We start from the raw sequence: 19,697 nt of genomic DNA, 5'->3' as shown, positions 1-19,697 counted from the left end.
TGGAAAGGGGCTGAACTAGGAATTTAACCCCGGGAGTCTGGCTCTTATGAACTCTGCCATATTGCCTCTCTAATAATCACAGATAATAATGTGCTCATTAAAATAATAATAATGATAGCAATATGCTTATTTAGCACCTATATGTGCCTGGCACCATGCTACTTTCATTGACATTTATCCCTTCTGGTAATCCTCACAACAACCCTATAAAGCAAAGATGATTATTATTTCCATTTTACAGATGAGGAAACCAAGACACAGAATGGTTGAGTAATGTATTAGTCTCTGCTCTCTGCTAATAAAGGCATTCCCAAGACTGGGTAATTTATAAAGGAAAGAGGTTTAATTGACTCACAGTTCTGCATGGCTGGGGAGGCCTCAGGAAACTTACAATCATGGTGGAAGGGGAAACAAACACGTCCTTCTTCACATGATGGCAGCAAGGAGAAGTGCAGAGCAAAGCAGGGGGAAAGGCTCTTATAAAACAATAAGCTCTCATGAGAACTCACTCACCATCACAAGAACAGCATAGAGGTAACTGCCCCCATGATTTAATTACTTTCCACCGGATCCCTCCCATGACACGTGGGGATTATGGGAACTACAATTCAAGAAGAGATTTGGGTGGACACACAGCCAAACCATACGAAGTAACTTACCCAAAATTGGACAGCCAATAAGTGGGAGAAAAGGCCTTTAATTCCATGCCCAGCTGACTCCAGGCCTGTATTCTTAGCCTCTAAAGGACCTGACTTCCCAAACAGCCAGGAGAGAGCCTCCCAGATTTCACAACTCAACATTTGCTGAGCCTTGTTCTGCACTGCACACCGTCCTGGGCAGTAGGGATTCCTGGTCCGTGTCCTCAGAGAATTCAGAATTGAGTGGAATGATAGACGTGTAAATGGATAATTACAAAGCAGGGAGAAGTGCTAGAGGGAATGCCAGCATTCCAAGGACTTCAGGAAGGCGAGTCTGCAAAGCCGGACTCTACTGTCTTGGCTCTGGGTTTGCAGACGTATCGCCTGTGAGTAGCCTATAGTGCTCAAACTCTCTCCTTCTTTCACATGTGGCACAGTTGTTGCTACGAATGGAGATGGCTGCTTTGCTCAGTTACTTAAAGGCATCAGGACCTGGGGGTGTGTGAGCAGGCGCTGGCAGAACTGCAGCCAAACACCATGGCTTCCCCTGCTCAAGAGACAGCCAGAAAGGCAAAGCATCGTCCTCAGCAGCCAGCCAGCTGTGCAGCCCCCACAGCGCTCACCTGGTGGCTGCCTCAGGCTTGTTTACTGTTGCTTTTATTGAATCTGACTAGTCTGGAAATAATTGTACTAATATTATTGACATTAATAGTACACCAGGATGTATTTATAACTTGCTTCTCTCTCAGTTGAAATCCAATCTCATCATCACCCTTACATGGGGTGGAAGTTGCAAGCAGAGCTGCTGCAAAAAAGGAGCTCCCTAGCATGGAAGTGGGAGAAGTCTGGCCCAGGTACCACACCTGTCTGGGAGGGACAGGCTTTGGAATCGGGGGATCTGTGCCCCAGACCGCAGAATCTTGAGTGTCTCAAGAGTTAAAGCTGCCTGGCTGTGGCTCCCACAGCCAGTAGGTGGGGTATTCTTTTAAAGGTAGTAGAAGAAAGGTTTGATGAGGTTTCAGAAAGTAAACGTGGGCTTTTCCAAAGAGCTTCCCAAACTGATGACATGGGAGATGATGTGTCTCCAGCCCTTCCCCCTGTTCCTTTTCTCTTCTCTCCTGCTGTTCCAGGAAGTTACCCACCCGCATCCTCTGCACTGGCCCACTCTGCCCCATGTCAACACGTGGATGCAGTTAGCTTTCTGTACTTACTCTGCAGTCCTGCCCCCTCCTGTCTCCTTGTCTGTCGCTGGGAGTCTTAGATGGAAAGAGGGTGCGTGTCCCGGATCTTATTTCCTGGGTGTCCAATATGGCATGACTTGCAAACTGAGATGTCTGCATGCTTTATTTCAGAGGTGCAAGTACTCCTTGATTCTCAAAATTTAGACTTTTCATAACCCACTAGATTTATTTTACTAGTCACTGGGGACTTAAATACAAAAAGGCTTCCTGTTACTTTTTTATTCAAAAGAGTGTAATGTATATATACACTGCTTAAAGAGTAATAATAAAACACCCACGTATTCACCATTCAGCTTGAGAAATAGAGCATTAGCAGCTCCTGAGAAGGCCCCTAGGTATTTATTTCCTATCACCTTCCTCTTTCCCTCCACCAGAGGTAACTTCTGTCTTGAGCTTCATATTAAGCATTTTCTTCCTTCTCTCTCTCTCTCTTTTTTTCACAAAGTTTTACAAGGTATATAAATATTCCTAAACAATATAGGCCTACCTCATAGGTATTGTGGGTTTTGTTCCAGACTACCACAATAAAGTGAATATCACATTAAAGTGAATCACACAAAATTTTTGGTTTCCCATTGCATATAAAAGTTACGTTTACACGATATTGGAATCTATTGAATGTGCAATAGCATTATGTCTTAAAAACAATGTACATACCTTAATTTTAAAATACTTTCTTGCTAACAAATGCTAACAATCCTCTGATTATTAGCAAGTCAATCATTTTTCTGGCAGAGGGTCTTGCTTTGATGCTGATGGCTGCTCACATCATCATCCAAGGGTGGTGGTTTCCAAGGGTTGGGGTGGCTGTAGCAATTTCTTTTTTATTTTTTTGAAGACAGAGTCTCAGTGTATCACCCAGGCTGGAGTGCAGTGGCACAATCATAGCTCACTACAGCCTTGAACTCCGAGGCTTAAGTTATTCTCCCACCTGAGCCTCTGAGTATCTGGGACTACAGGCACATGCCATTATGCTCATCTAATTTTAAAAAAAATTTTGTACAGATGGGGTCTTGCTATGTTTCCCAGGCTGGTCTCAAACTCCTGGGCTCAAGCATTCCTCCCATGTTGTTCACGCAAAGCACTGGGATTACAGGTGTGAGCCACCATGCCCAGCAGCAATATCTTATAATATGACAGCAATCAAGTATGCTGCATCCAGTGACTCTTCCGTTCATGAAAGATTTCCCTGCAGCATGAGATGCTATTTGATGGCTTTTTACCCACAGTGGACCTTCTTTTAAAACTGCAGTCAGTTCTCTCAAACCCTGCCTCTGCTTTATCAATAAAGTTTATGTAATGTTTTAAATCCTCTGTTGTTAATTCAACAATGTTCACAGCATCTTCACCAGGAGTAGATCCCATCTCAAGAAACCATTTTCTTTGCTCATCTGTAAGAAGCATCTCCTCATCTGTTCAAGTTTTATCATGAATTGCAGCATTTCAGTCACATCTTCAGGCTCTACTTCTAATTCTAGCTCTCTTGCTATTTCTACTGCATCTGCTGTTACTTTCTCCACTGAGATCTTAGACCCCTCAACATCAGGTTGGACTCCACTTCTTCCAAGCTCCTGTTAGTGTTGATATTTTGACCTCCTACCATAAATCTCAAATGTTCAAATGGCATCTAGAAGACAGAGTCTCTAGATGAAAAGATGGTGAATCCTTTCCAGAAAGTTTTCAATTCACGTTGCTCATCACTACTTATGGCAACTATAACTTTATGAAATGTATTTCTTAAATAGTAGGACTTGAACATCAAAATTACTTTTAGATCCATGGGCTGCAGAATGGATGTTGTGTTAGCAGGCATGAAGACAACATTAATTTTGTGCATGTTAATCAGAGCTCTTGGGTGACCAAGTGCATTGTCAATGAGCAGTAATATTTTGAAAGAATCTTTTTTTCCTGAGCAGTAGGTCTCAACAGTATGCTTAAAATATTCAGTAAACCATACTGTAAACAGAGGTGCTGTCAAAAGGCTTTCTGGTTTCACTTACAGAGCAAAGGCAGAGTAGATTCTGCATAATTCTTATGAACCCATAGGTTTTTAGAAAGGTCAGTGAGCATTAGCTTTAACTTAAAGTCATCAGCTACTTAGCTTCTAACAAGAGAGCAGCCTGTCCTTTGATGTTTTGAAGCCAGGTATTGACTTCTCTTCTCCAGCTAAGAAAAGCCTAGATGGCATCTTCTTCCAATAGAAGGCTGTTTCCTCTACATTGAAAATCTGTTGTTTAGTGGAGCCACCTTTGTCAATTATGAAGCTAGATCTTTTGGGTAACTTGCTGCATCTTCTCCATCAGCACTTGCTGCTTCACCTTGCACTTTTAGGTTATGGAGATGGCTTCTTTCCTTAAACCCACCTCTGCTAGCTTCAAACTTTTCTTCTGCAGCTTCTTGACCTCCCTCAGTCATTATAGAATTGAAGGCTAGGGCTTTGCTCTGTATTAGGCTTTGGCTTAAGGGAATGTTGTGGCTGGTTTGATCATCTATCCAGACCACTCAAACTTTCTCCATACCAGCAATAAGTCTATTTTCCTTTTTTTTTTTTTTCTCAACTTTTATTTTAGACTCAGAGGTTAAATGTACAGGTTTTGTTACAAGGGTATATTGCATGATGCTGAGGTTTGGGGTACAACTGAACCCACCACTCAGTTAGTGAGCATAGTGCTTGAGAGGGAGTTTTTCAGCCTTTACCCCCGTCCCTCTCTCCTTCTTCTTGGAGTGCCCAGTGTCCATTGTTTCCATCTTTATGTCCCTGCATATGCAATGTTCAGCCCCCACTTAAAAGTGAGAACATGCAGTATTTGATTTTCTCTTTCTGTTCACTTAGGATAATGGCCTCCAGCTACATTCATGTTGCTGCAAAGGACATGACTTCGTTCCTTTTTTTTATGACCACATGGTATTCCATGGAATATATGAACCACATTTTCTTTATCCAATCCAGCGTTCATGGACACCTAGGTTGATTCTATGTCTTTGCTATTGTGAATAGTGCTGCATTTCACTTTCTTATCACTAGTATGTTCACTGGAGTAGCCCTTTTAATTTCCTTCAAGAATTTTTCCTTTGCATTCACAACTTGGCTGTTTGATGCAAGAGGCCTGGCTTTTGACCTGTCTCAGCTTTTGACAGGCCTTCCTCACTAAGCTTAATCATTTCTAGCTTTTGACTTAAAATGGGAGAGGTACAGCTCTTCCTTTCACTTGAACACTTGGATTATTAATTGCCCTAACACCTAGGGTTACTAATTGACCTAATTTCAATATTTTTGTGTCTCAGGGAATAAGGGAACCCGAGGAGAAGGAGAGAGATGAGGGACCAGCTCCTCGGTGGAGGACGCAGAATACACACATTTATTGATGAGGTTTGCCATCTTTTATGGGCACAGTTTGTGGCACCACAAAACAATTACAATGGTGACTTTGAAGATTATTGATCACAGATCACCATAACAGATATAATGATGAAAAGGTTTGAAATATTGTGAAAATTATCAGAATATAACAACAAGACACAAAGTGGGCACATGCTGTTGGAAAAATGATGCTGATAGACTCGCTTGACACGGGGTTGCCAGAAACCTTTAATTTTTTTTTTTAAATGCAATATTTGTGAAGCACACTAAAATTAGGTGTGCCTGGGTATTATTTAGCTCTGCCTGAGTTTTGAACTTTATATAATGGAGTCATACTGTATATTTTCTTCTGTGCCTTGCTTCTTTTGCTCAAGAATATATTTGTTGGATTCATCTATTTTTAATGTGAGTGTTTGTGGTTCATTCATTCTCACTTCTAAATAATACTCCAGTGTATGAATATGCTGCAATTTATTTGCCCAGCCTACTGCTGGTGGAAATTTGGGGTTTGAGCTATTATGAATATTGCTGTGAATATGGATTTATGAAACTCAAGGTTTGCTACTCCAAGTGTAGCCCTCAGAACAGTGGCAGATTTTCAGGGTCCTATCCCAGATCTACTGAATTAGAATTTGCATATTAGCAAAATTGTATGCATGCTAGAGTTTGATAAGCACTGCTCTATGTACCTAGGTTTACACTGAGAAGTAGAGTTGTTGATCCTAAGGTAACCATGCATTAAATCTTACAATGAACAGGCAAACTGTTTTCCAAAATGGTTATGCCCATTCCCACTCTACCCTAGTGAAGGACCAGAGTTTCTGTTGGCCCACATTTCATCATCTCTTGGTATTGACAAACTTTTACATTTTACCAACCTGGTAAGTATGAGATGGTATCTCTGTAGGATTTTGCTTTTCATTTTCCTTATTACAGACATGTCCCAAAGGATACCACTGTGATCTAAGCAGGCCACGCTTGGAGTAGCAGCCGGGAGCCACAGCTTTTCATATGGTGAAGGGCCATTTTGCTTTCTTTTCTAGCAAATGCCTATTTATGTTTTTGCTCATTTTTCTGTTGGGTTTATTTCTAATGGGTTCATGAATTTTTTTTTTTTTTTTTTTTTTTTGAGACAGGGTCTCACTATGTCATCTAGGCTGGAGTACAGTGACGTGATCACTGCTCACTGCAGCCTTGACATCCTGGGGCCAAGCAATCCTCCCTCCTCAGCCTCCTGAGTAGCTGGGACTACAGGCATGTGCCACAAAGCCCGGCTAATTTTTTTATTTTTTGTAAAACAGGGTCTCACTATGTTTCCCAGACTGGTCTCGAACTACTGGGCTCAAGCAATCCTCCCACCTTAGCCTCCTGAAGTGCTGGGATTACAGGTATGAGCCACTCCACCCAGCCCATAAAAGATTTTTTGTTCATGACTTTTACATATTTGTTCATGTGGCAGAAACCACACAATGTGCTTAGCCCACCATTTCCTTGTCCTGGACATAAAGAAGAGCAAATCTGCCAGCCTCCTTTGCAGTTAGATTGGGACCATGTGACTGAGTTCCTACTAAGGGAATGATAATTGGATTAGTTTGCCAGGGCTTCCCTAACAAAATACCACAGACAGAATAGCTTAAACAATAGGTGTTAATTTTCTCACAGTTCTGGAAGCTGGAAGTCCAGGATCAGAGGGTCAGCAGATTTGGTTTCTTCTGAGGCTCCTCTCCTTGGCTGTCAGATGACCGACCTCTTGCTGTGTCTTCATATGGTCTTTCCTCTATGCATGAACAGCTGTGTCCTAATCTCTTCTTATAAGGACACCCGCCATATCGGATTAGCACCCACCCCTATGAACTTATTTTAATTACCACTTCTTTATGTCCAGGAAAAGGAAGTGGTGGGCTAAGCACATTGTGCGGTTTCTGCCACATGAACAGAGATGTAAAAGTCACAAATAAAAAATATTTTATGGGCTGGGTGGGGTGGCTCGTGCTTGTAATCCCAGCACTTCAGGAGGCTGAGGTGGGAGGACTGCTTGAGCCCAGTAGTTTGACACCAGTCTGGGAAACATAGTGAGACCCTGTTAAAAGTGGTAATTAAATAATTTAAAACATCATGAGACCCTATCTCCAAATTCAGTCACATTCTGAGGTACTCGGGGTTAGGACTTCAATAATTGAATTTTGGAGGACACAAGTCAATCCTCAACAATGGTGTAGTCACTTCTCTGCATGGACCTTAAAATCATCCCACGATTTTCCAGCCTGCACTTCCCCTTTTGTGGAAACTTTGGAAGCCGCATGTTCTAGGCGGTATAGCCATAAAAGAGAAGCAGCCTGGGTTCCTGTGTTACTGCCTGGAGCGGAGCTGCCTGTCCTGCAACAGGCTGTGACATGGAAGAGAACCAGACCTCCATAGTGCAAGACCACTGACATTTTGAAATTTGTTACTGCAAAATGATCAATTCTATCCTTACTAAGCAGTTTTTGCATGAGATTAGACTGATTTTTCTTGCCCATATCATCCTTGTCAAGTTTTGGAATTAAGATTTTGCTAATCTTTTAAACTGATGGGGGCAGGTTTCTTCTTTTTCTATGACCTGGAAAAGTAGTTCCTAAAACATTTTGTAGAAATTGCTGATAAATCATTTGGACCTAGTTTTTTTTTTTTTCTGGAAGATTTTTATCTAATAATTCAATTTCTTTAAAGGTCATTAGACTCTCCAGGTTTTCTACTGCTTCTTTGATAAATTGTATTTTTCTAGAATTTATCCACTTTTATCTAAGTTTTAAAATTTATCATAAAGTTTTTCTTAACCTCGTCTCATCTGTTTAATAATTGCAGCTTTTGCAGTAATAAGCCCTTTTTAATTCTTAATATTGTTCCTAATATTGTTTATTTTTTCATTCTTTCTCTCTCCACTCCCCATCCTGTTTATTTTCTTCTGAGTAATCTTGCTAGCTAAGGAATGGTCATTTTAAAAGCTTTTTTTTTTTTTTTCCAAAGAACCAATTTTTGGTTTTGACATTTCTTTTTATTGAACTTTATTTTTGCCTTTAGTTTTGTTCTTAGCTTGAATATTTTCTTCTTTCTGTTTTTATTGGGTTTATTCTGCTATTCTTTTGACTTTTTAAATGGAATGCTCAAGTCACTAATTTTGAGCCTTTAGTTCTAATATAAGCAGCTAAAGTTATATATTTTCCTCTAAATACTGCTTTAGCTGCACCCCCAAAATTTTTATATGAAATAATTTTATAATTCAGTTATTCATATTTCTATTTTCAAATTTTCATTATAACTCCTTTTTAAAGCCATCAGTACTTAGATATTGTAAACTTTCCAGACATAGATTTTTAATGGGTATATTTTTATTATTAAATTTCTTACTTGAGTGCATTAGAGCTAGATAATATGATATAATTGTTGAGGCTAACTCTGTGGTCAAGCACATAGTCAATTTTTGTAACTATTTCATGTATGCTTTGAAACAAATGTATATTCTTCTATTGTTGGGCACAGTATTCTATATATGACCATAAGAGCTTTCTGATTTGTACTGTCCACATTTTTAATATTCTTAGTAATTTTTTTGTCTGCTTGATCAATCACTGAGATGGATGAATTAAAAATCTCTATGTTGGCTTGGTGCTGTGGCTCATGCCTGTAATCCTTGCACTTTGGGAGGCCGAGGTGGGCAGATCACCTGAGGTGGGGAGTTTGAGACCAGCCTGGCCAACATGGTGAAACCATATCTCTACTAAAAATACAAAAAAAAAAAAAAAACTGAGTGTGTGGTGGTGCACACCTGTAATCCCAGCTACTTGGGAGGCTGAGGTGTGAGAATCGCTTGAGCCTGGGAGGCGGAGGTCGCAGTGAGCTGAGATCACGCCATTGTGCTCCAGTCAGGGTGACAGAGTGAGACTTTGTCTGAAAAAACCAAAAATAAAAATAAATAAATAAATAAAAATCTCTCACTTATGATTGTGCTTTTCTATTTCTTCCTGTAGTATTGTCAATTTTTACTTTACATATTTTGCATTTTGGTTCTGGTGCATGAAAGTTTAGAATTATTACATTTTTTTGATTAAACATTTTATCATTATGTAGAAAGTCCCAATGTTTTTAGTAATACTTTTAGTCTAAAAGTCTGTTTTATCTTATATCAATATAACTTCACCAGAATTCTTTTGTTCAGTATTTTCTTGTTAAATCTTCCTCCCTTTTTAAACTTAACTTTTATGTTTGACCTTCAAACTTCATGTTTTTTCTGTCTTGTCTAAGCCACATTTCGCTAGATTAAAGAAAATAGTCTGATAATCTTGGGCTTTTAATTCAAAAATTGAATTCATTCTTATTTATTATGAATACTGCATATAGGTTGAATATCCCCTACCCAAAATACTTGAAGCCAGAAGTGATTTTGGAATATATGCATATACATAATGAAATATATTGAGGATGGGACCCAATTCCAAACATGAAATTCATTTGTTTTATGTACATCTTATACCTATAGCCTGAAGGTAATTTTTTACAGTATTTTAAATAATTTTGTGCATGAAACCAAAGTTTTGACTGCGACTCATTACATGAGGTTGGGTGTAGAGTTTGTGGCATCATATAAGTGTTCAAAAAGTTTTGGATTTTGGAACATCGCAGATTTTGAATTTTCAGATTATAGACACCCAACCTGCATTTAGATTAATTTCTATCCCTTTAATATGCTTTTCATCTGGATTTTTGTATTTCTCTTTCTTTTAGAATGACTTTTTAATTTCTTTTTTTTTAATTATTATTCCATTTTTCCCATCTATTTCGGGATTATGTACTCTATGCCCATCTAATTTCGGAGTTATTCTAGTTATTTTGTATGCATACTTGGTTTAATAAGGCTTAAAGTTAACCAATACCTTTCCATTTCTTCTGAATCACATAAGGCTATTCTGATCGCATCTCCAAAGTTATTTGCTATAATCTTTTCTAACTACTGCTGTAGTTTCACTCCCCTAATTTCAGAATTCCCTGCCATCAGCATTCTAGTTGCTTGAGATTTGGAAGGCATGAAGAAGTTGGCAGTAAACCTTCCTCTGGCAGTGCCAGTGGACGCATCAGCAGTGATGGCAGTTTCCAAGAGCATGCACAGACTTCATGGTCCACTCTGCCTCCAGCTTTGGGGCCTCCCCTGCAGCTTCTTGCTTCTGATTTCTGAGTTTATCACCTGCAACATCTGAGTCTCACTCCTCCAGTGCTTCCAACAATTTTGCAAGCACCTAATTTCCTATGTTAATTCTTTCTTTTTTTTTTTTTGCTTAAAATATTTAGACTTATTTTTGTTTTGCTGACAGACTCTGACTGATTACATGGAATATTGAATGGTAGGTTGGCAGTAATTTTATTTCAGGATATTGAAGCTAAATTATTCTATGGTCTTCTGGCTTCCAATGTTGCTGTGGAAAAGTGAGCCACCAGCCTAATGACTGTTTCTTTGTAAGTTTTCTGTCTTCTCACTCTTGATGCTTTTAGGATAATTTCTTTTGCTTTGGCATTTCGTACATTTTTTCAAGCTAATTGAGGCATAATTTATATACAGTAAACTGTATTCCTTGTAGGTATACAGTTCTATTAATTTTGATAAATCCAGACAGTCATTTAACCATCACCATCAAAACATAGACCATTGCCTCACCCTAAAAAGTTTCCTCATGCTCCTTGATAATCAGTTCCTTCCCCACATCCCTTGCTTCTGGTGACCACTTATCTGTCTCCTATTTCTACATTTTTGCCTTTTCCATAATGTCACATAAATAAGACCATGTGGCATGGAGCTTTTTGATTCTGACTTATTTTACTTAACGTGGTGCTTTTGAGAGTCCATGTTGCTGCATGTATCATTGTTTTTTGTTTTGTTTTAATCAATGTGTAGTATTCCTTTGAATAGGTGAATCGTAATTTGTTTACTTACCAGTTGATGGGCATATTGGTTGTTTCCAGTATGGGACAATTATGAATAAAGTCATTCTAAACATTCATGTAAGGGTTTTGTTTGGATATATGAATTGATTCCTCTTGGGTAAATATGTGTGAGGGAGATTTTCTGGTTATCTCGTGCGTTCGTTCCCAAAAGCTGCCATAACAAATGACCACAAACTTGGTGCTTCAAACGACTGCAGTGTATTCTCTCACAGTTCTGGGAAGCCAGATGTTCAAAATCAAGGCATCAGCTTGGCTGCAGTACCTCAGAGGCTCTAAGAGGAGAATCTGTTCCATGACTCTCTCCCACCTGTGGGTGGCTGTGGTCGAACTTTGATGTTCCTTGACTTGCAGCTGCGTAATTTCAATCTCTGCCTCCATCTCCACATGGCCTTCTCCCTGTGCATCTGTCTCTGTCCCAGACTCCCTCTGCGTGTCTTTCTCCTTTTTTTTTTTTTTTTTTTTGGTGAGACAGGGTCTCACTCTGTTGCTGAGGCTCGAATGTAGTGGTGCAATCACGGCTGACTGCAGCCTTGACCTCCTGGGCTCAAGTGATCCTCCTGCCTTAGCCTCCTGAGTAGCTGGGACCACCATGCCGGGCTAATTTTTGTATTTTTTTGTAGAGATCGGGTCCCACTATGTTGCCCAGGCTAGTCTCAAACTCCTGGGGTCAAGTGATCAGCCCACTTTGTCCTCCCAAAGTGCTGGGATTACAGGCATGAGCCACCACACCCGGGCCCTCTACCTCTCTCTTATGACGATACATGTGATTGAACTTAGGGCCCACTGGGATAATCCAGAATTAACTATTTTCAAGGTCCTTAACTTAATTACATCTCTTGCCATATAAGATCATACTCACCCATTTGCCGTATAAGGTCATATTCACAGGTTCTGGGGATTAGCATGTGGACATATCCTTTTAGGGGGCCATTTTTCAGCCTACCACATACAGTCAGCATATGTTTAACTTTATAAGAAAATGCCAAACTGTTTTCCAAAGTGGCTGTACCATTTTTCATTCCCACTAGCAGTGTATACGGATTCCAGTGGCTCCACATCCCTGCCAGCATTTGGTATTGTCAAAGTTTTATTTTTGTTTTGTTTTTTAGCCATTCTAATAGGTATGCATGGATATCTAATTGGCTTTTAAGTTACATTTCTCTAGTATTAATGATTTTGAGCATATTTTTATGTGCTTATTTGCCATATGTATATAAGTATTAGTCCATTTTCATGCGGCTGATAAAGACATACTTGAGCCTGGGAAGAAAAGAGGTTTTAATGGACTTATAGTTCCACGTGGCTTGGGAAGCCTCACAATCATGGCAGAAGGCAAGGAGGAGCAAGTAACGTCTTACATGGATGGCAGCAGGCAGAGAGAGCTTGTTCAGGGAAACTCCCCTTTTTAAAACCATCAGATCTCATGAGACTTATTCACTAGCACAAGAAAGACCTACCCCCATGATTCAGTTACCTCTCACCAGGTCCCTGTCACAACACAAGGGAATTCAAGATGAGATTTGGGTGAGGACACAGGCAAACCATATCAGTATATCTTTTTTCATGAAATATATGTTCAAATCTTTTAACAAGTTTAAAACGTTTTTAAAATTAGGTTATTTTCTTATAATTGAGTTCTGAGAGATCAAAATGTATTCTGGTTACAGTCTTATCAGACATGTATTTTTCAAATATTTTCTCTTCCTATATGGCTCGTTCCTTTTATGTTTTAAACATGCCTTTCCAAAAGGCAGAATTTTGAGATTTTAATGAAATCTAATTTGTTAATTTTTTTCATTGTGGTTTGTGCTTTTTGTTTTCTTTCCAAAATAAAAACAAGTTTACAAAGATTTTCTCCTATGTGTTCTTCTAGAGGTTTATCATTTTAGAGCTCACATTGTCTATGATCCATTTCAAATTATTTTTTGTATATTGTGTAAGGTATGTGTCAAAGACTTTGTTTTGCACATAGATGTCAAATTATTCTAGTACTATTTGGTGAAAAATAATCCATACTCCATTGAATTACCTCGGCACTTTTGTTGAAAATCAGTTAACCATATTTTTATGGCCCTGTTTCTGGATATGTTTTCATTATTACCACACTGTCTTTATTAGTGTAGATATATAGTATGTTTTGAAATCAAATAATATAAGCCTCCAAATTTGTTCTTTTTCAGAATTGTTTCGGCAATTCTAGTTCCTTTACTTTTCTAAATGAATTTTTTAAATAAGCTTGTTGACTTTTATAAAGAAGTCTGCTGAGTTTTGATTGTAGCAAATTTATAGATCAATTTTGGGGAAATTTACATCTTGACACATCCTATATATCATCATGTATTTATTTAGATCTTTGATTCTCCTATCCGTGCTTTGTAGTTTTCAGCATATAAATCTTATACATGTATTTTATTGGTTTTGGTAATATTGTAAGTGGTACTTTAAAAAACTTTCAAAATTTCATTTTTTTTCTTTTCTCTTTTTTTTCTTTTTCTTTTTATTTTTGAGACAGGGTTACCCACTGTCACCCAGGCTGGACCAACCTTGCATTCCCACGATAAACTCCTAACTTGGTCATGATGTACTGTCATTTCATATACTGCTGAATTTATTTTTTAAATATTTTGTTAAGGATTTTTTGCACCTTTCTTCATTAAGGGTATTGGTCTGTGTTTATAGTTTTCTGTGTATTTTTTTTGTAATGTGTTTGGTTTTAGTATCAGTGTGATACTGTTCTCATCTTAAGTTAGGAGGTGTTCACTTCCTTTCTGTTTTCTGGAAGTGTTGATGTAGTGTTTACATTATTTCTTCATTAAATGTTGGAAAAACTTGCCATGGAGCACATGAAGCCATCTGGGCATACAGTTTTCTTTGTGGGAAGGTTTTTGACTACATACAGTGTGCAGTTTTTAATTATAAATTTAATATCTTTAATATATGTAGGACTATTCAACTTATCTATTGCTTTTTGAATAAGCTTTGATAGTTTCTATATTTGAGGAAAAGTGTCCATTTAATCTAAGTCACTAAATGTATTGGCATATAGTTGTCTATAGTATTTTCTTTATATCCGTTCAGTATTTGTAGGCTCTGGAGTGATAGCTCTCCTCTTTTTTCCCATCATTGGTAATTTCTGTCTTTCCCTTTTGATTTCTTATCAGTCTGACTAGAGGTTTATCAATTTGATTGACCTTTACAGAAAGCCAGTATTTCATTTTGTTAATTTTTATCAATTTTTTCTTTCAATTTTATTGGTTTCTGCTCTTATCTTTATTATTTCTTTCCTTGTGCTTTCTTTGGATTTAAATTGCTCTTCCTTTTATAGGTTTTTAAAGCCAAAACTTAGGTAATTGATCAGAGACACTTATTTTTTTCTAATACAGGTATATAATGTTATAAATTTCCCCAAACACTCTATTAGCTGCATCACACAAATTCTAATATGTTGCCTTTATTTTTACTCAGTTCAAACATATTTTAAAATTTCCCTGTGTCTTCCTCTTCAACTCACTAGAAGTGTATTATTTCATTTCAAATATTTGTTGAGTGCTCATATATCTGTCTCTTAGTGATTTCTAATTGAGTTGTGGTTAGAAAACATACTTTGTATAATTTCGGTGTTTTAAAATGTGTTTTGTGGCAAGAATATGGTCTATTCTATGGAATGATCCACATGCACTTGAAAAGAATGTGTCACGGGCTGTTGTTGATTGGGTTGTTCTATAAAATGTCAGAGTAAATTGGTCGATAATGTCATTCAGGTCTTCTATGTCCTTACTGATTTTCTGTTTACTAATTCAATCAATTAATAAGAGAGGAATGTTGACATTCTAACTCTATTCGTGGATGTATTTACTTATTTTCAGCTCTGACAGTAATTGCTTTATATGTTGTGAAGCACTGCTGTTAGGTGCATATACCTTTAAATTATTTCATTTTGATGAATTGATCCTTAATCATTATGCAATGCCCCTCTTTAATTTCGGTCATATTTCCTGATCTGAAGTCTACCTTTACTACTTTTAATGTAGCTACTCTAGTTATTTCAATTAATATTTGCATGGTTTGCATGAGTGTATCCTTTTCCATCATTTTACTTTTAACCAGTTATGTCTTTATATTAAAATTCTGTTTCTTGGATATAGCACATAGTTGAGTCTTGCTTTTTTATGCAGTCTGACAATCTTTGTCTTTTAATTGGGACATTTTAATTATTTAAATTTAGTGTTATAACTGATATGGTTTTATTTAATTTTCCTATACTGCTAAATATTTTCTATTTAGTCTCATCTCTTCTTTTTTTTCTATTTTTCTGCCTGATTTGTGACTAATTTTTATGATTCAATTTTATCTCCATTATTGGCTTATTATACTTTTTTAAGAAAAGTCTGAGCCAGGTGTGGTGGCTCATGCCTGTAATCCTAGCGCTTTGGGAGACTGAGGGAGGAGGATCACTTAAAGCCAGGAGCTTAGAGACCAGCCTGTGCAACATAGTGAGACCCCATATCAACAAAAAATAAAAATAAATAAAACTATCAGTTGTTGTCCCAGAGTTTTTAACATGTTTAATATATCACAGTCTACCTTCAAATAGTTTTATACTAAGTCACTATATTATATAAGAACTATATACTTTCAATTTCTTCCACCTATGCTTGTGCTATCGATGATACACATTTTATTTTCCACATTATAAACCCCAAAATATCTCCAAAATATAACTTTTTTTTGCTTAACAAGACAACTATTTTTAGAGTAACTAAAAATGAGAAAATAATATTTTTGTATTTACCTTTATTTTTACCATTTTTGAAGGTGTTTTTTTTTGGTATAGTTTCTGTGTGGTATCATATTCTCTGGGCCTCAAGAACTTCCTTTAACAGTACAGACCTGTTAGTAATAAATTCTTTTGGCCTTTGTCTGTAAAAGTCTTCAGTTTTTCTTGATTTTTGAAAATCATTTTCACTGGGACTCCAATTATATATATATTAGGCCATTGTGTATGTCTTTAGCTCATATATATTCTAATCCAGTTCTCTCCCCTTTCCTTTTTCTTTTTCAGTTTGTGTAATTTCTATTGACATATTTTGCTGTCTTGGGTGTACTAATGAGCCCATCAAAGGAAATTTTTTTCTCTGATTTTGTCTTTTTTCTTGTTTCTTGTATTCCCAGTTTACTCTTTCTTACAATTTCTTTCTCTTAGCTGAAATTCTACATCCATTCATGCATGCCGCCCACTTTTTCACTAGCTCCTTTAGCACTTTAATCATAATTATTTTAAAGTACTTGTCTGATAGTTCTAACATGAAGATCATATCTGAGTCTTATTTTTTTGGTTGTTTTATCTCTTTTAAATAATTTGCGTTTTCTTGCCCTTTTTTAATGTCTCATAATTTTTGATTGAATGTCAAATATCACACTAAAACTGGTTAGCAAAAGATAGATCATATGCATGCCTGGAAGTGGGCATGCTTCTTGTTTTGGGTCATTAGGTGGAGGGGTGAGTCATGCTAGCTACAGGTTGAGCTGGATTTGGATTTTGCTGTTGCTATGGTTACCATTATTGGACCGCAGGCTTCCAGGTTTCCGATCAGTGTGCTGCTGTTGCCTATATTTAGGGTCAAGGCTGGCGTGCTGGAGGGTTTTCACAGTGTGAGTGGTCCACCCTCAACTCACCCAGTCTTTCAATGCCTGTGTCACAAAGTAGATCTCTCTCCATGCTTTGTCCTTCCCCAGCAGTAGACTGCTGTTTCTGGGTACTCCCTGATAGGCTTGTGGAGGGGGCAGGAAGGTTCTCTGTTGCCTTGTCCAGCTTTAGTCTCAGGGAGACTCTGTGTACCTGAGCTTTGGGGGTAAAGCCTTTCCAGCACTGTTGCCCCATGTGGTCTCTTCCTTCAGTAGTCAAACTGCTTTGGTGGGTCTTAGACAGGCGTTTCCTGCTCTTCCTCCAGTGGTAAGAGACGTCTACTTAATATCAACATGGGCCCTTGAGCCCAAGACAGTTACCTGCTCATCACCCAGCATTGGAGTTTTTGTTACATCTTTTCATTAACCACGTTGTGTCTTTGCCTGGGTGCAAGAGGCTTTGCTCTCCCTCTTCAAGTGATTTATGGCTTTTGCTTTGTAGGAGAGAAGGGTCTGGACAGGGTGTTGCACCTGCTCTCTCCACCCCTATAGCCACTGATCACTAACTTTGTGCCCAGTGGGCAAAAGGGTTTGCACTTCCTCCTCTAGTGGTTTAAGGCTTTTGCTTCATATGAGAGGAAGCTCTAGGGAAATGGCAGAGTTTTCTGTCTCCTTCACGGTGGCAGCTGATCACCTTCTGCTGGTCTGCGCTGCAAATGGTGGCTCTCTCAGGTGTCCTGCCGGCCCAAATCTTTCTCAGAGCACCCGTCAGAGGCTCGTGGGAAATATCCTGTGAGTAAACAGGAATTCCTGTTTTAGCAGATGCTTGCATCTATTTCAGACTGATACACTAGTGCACACGGGGCCTTCAGCGGTTCTTTAAAATTGTAGCTGACTCTCCTTGCCACTTAGGCTGCAGAACCTCCTCCTCCCTTGTTCTGCCACGAGGGAGGTAGGTCATTCATGCATCTCTTCTCTCCTTGGAGGGCCTTGCTCCTTTGTGGATTCCAGGCTACTTAGTTACCTTGTGACTTCATCTCTCTGATGGGTCCAGGAAGAGTTGGTATTCTGTAATTTATCCAGCTTTTTCTTGATAGGAGGAGAGCAACTTTTTTTTTTTTTTTTTGGCAACTTTCTACAAACTAAGAAGAAGAAGTAGAAAGTAGAAGTGCCAAACATTTTTTCAAGGCACCAATCCTCCCATCCAGGAATAGCATCAGATACCACCAGAGCTTCCTGGATATAAAAATGTGTGTCTTACAAAAATATTTTGAAAGTTCTCAGCTATTATCTTTTTGAATACTATCTTTTTCTCATTTTCTTGTATCATCTCCTTCTGGAATTTTGATTAAACATATGCTAGACCTTCTCATTCTCTTTTTCCTTTTTTTAAATTCTGTCTTCCTGGAGTCCTAACAGGATAATTTCTGGGGACCTTTGACTTTGGGCCACCATATTTCTTAGAATTTTGTAAGTATTCTGTAAGTCATGTGGAAGCAGAGTTTCCCAGAGGGGATTTGCATTGGTTTCTGCCATGGTCTACCAAACTAGGACAACTTGTTTAATTTCCCCCTTGAGGTTTTTTGGACTACAGGTAGCTAAAATGATGACCATAGACCCTTGTGAAGATTGGCTCATGATTACACAGTCTCAAGTAAGTTTGTTTTCCTCCCTCCCCAAATGCCAAGGTTGAACAAGTCAAGCAAGTTTCCCCTTCACCTTTTTCTACGTGGCAGGTGTATTGCCTGCTCATCCTTACCTGATGAATACTCTCTGTGGTCCCAGATTGATGTGTGCTTCTATTAGATTGAGGATATTTCTCTTGTTGCCCTGTTTTAGACAACCATCAAAACAGAAGTCTGAGGCCAGGACAGTGGCCACGTCTGTAATCCTAGCACTTTGAGAGGCTGAGGAGGGTGGATTGCTTGAGCCCAGGAGTTCATGACCAGCCTGGGCAACACAGTGAAACCCATCTCTAAAAAAAAATACAAAATTAGCCAGGCATGGTGGTGTGTACCTGTAATCCTAGCACTTTGGGAGGCCAAGATGGGTGGATTGCTTGAGCCCAGGAGTTCAAGATCAGCCGGGAAAACATAGCAAAACCCTATCTCTACAAAAAATAGAAAAATTAGCTGAGCATAGTGGCAGGCAGTCAGCTTCTGTCCCAGCCACTTAGGAGACTGAGGTGGGAGGATCACTTGAGCCTGGGAGGTGGAGGTTGCAATGAGCCAAAATCACACCACTGAACGCCAGCCTGGGCAATAGAGTGAGACTCTGAAGACAGGAAGGAAGGAAGGAAGGGGAAGGGAGGAAGGAAAGAAAGAAGGAAAGGAAAGGAGAAGAGAAGAGAAAGAGAAAGAAAGAGAAGGAAGGAATGAAAGGGAAGGGAGGAAAGAAAGAGAAAGAAAAGTGAAAGAAAGAAAAAGAAAGAGAAAGGAAAGAAAGAAAAGGAAAGAAAGGAAGGAGAGAGGAAGGAAGGGAGGAAGGAAAGGGAGGAAGGGAAGAAGGAAAGAGGGAGGGAGGGAAGAAAGGGAGAGAGGGAGGGAGGGAGGAATTGAAGCCAAGTTCTCCAAGTTTCAGTAGAAATTCTCAGGGTAAAAGTTGGCTTGGCTACTTTCTGTTCCACTTTGGGGGTTCTGTGGAGCCCTTCCTCATGTGCCACATGGGCATTTCCAAAGTGGTATTTAAAAAAATTTCCCCCAATAATTTTAGTTGTTTCAAAAGGAATGTGAAAGTATCTAACTCACCATACTGCTGGAATGGAAGCCTATGCGTTAGTATTTCCCGGTGTGTGGCGTGACATGTTGGCGTCACACATTAGTCATCTCCCTCATCCCAGTCCTGAGCAAAGGAGCATAG

General features: G+C 38.7%; 2 long non-coding RNA genes across 4 annotated transcripts in view; one reads left to right on the top strand and one right to left on the bottom strand.

Annotated features, from left to right (window-relative positions):
- LOC105371888 (uncharacterized) overlaps positions 1 to 6,265 on the top strand; it is a 25,305-nt gene extending 19,040 nt beyond the window's left edge. For both annotated transcript variants that reach the window (XR_001752997.1, XR_934962.2), the window contains exon 6: positions 5,165 to 6,265. This is a non-coding gene — a long non-coding RNA (uncharacterized LOC105371888). The remainder of the gene's footprint in view (positions 1 to 5,164) is intronic.
- The window catches only part of LOC107985081 (uncharacterized), a 21,523-nt gene extending 1,826 nt beyond the window's left edge, over positions 1 to 19,697 (bottom strand). The window contains exons 1-3 of one of the 2 annotated variants that reach the window (XR_001752998.2): positions 19,586 to 19,697; positions 18,598 to 18,668; positions 15,991 to 17,628 (exon numbers count right to left, since the gene is read on the bottom strand). This is a non-coding gene — a long non-coding RNA (uncharacterized LOC107985081). Of the gene's footprint in view, positions 1 to 15,990; positions 17,629 to 18,597; positions 18,669 to 19,585 lie in introns of those variants that run through there. The other variant, XR_001752999.1, reaches the window with a different exon arrangement.

This window comes from Homo sapiens, chromosome 17, assembly GCF_000001405.40.
Source record: "Homo sapiens chromosome 17, GRCh38.p14 Primary Assembly".
NCBI classification, from domain to species: Eukaryota; Metazoa; Chordata; class Mammalia; order Primates; family Hominidae; genus Homo; species Homo sapiens.
Note: the sequence above shows the minus strand (reverse complement) of the source record. Positions and strands in the feature narration are given on the sequence as shown.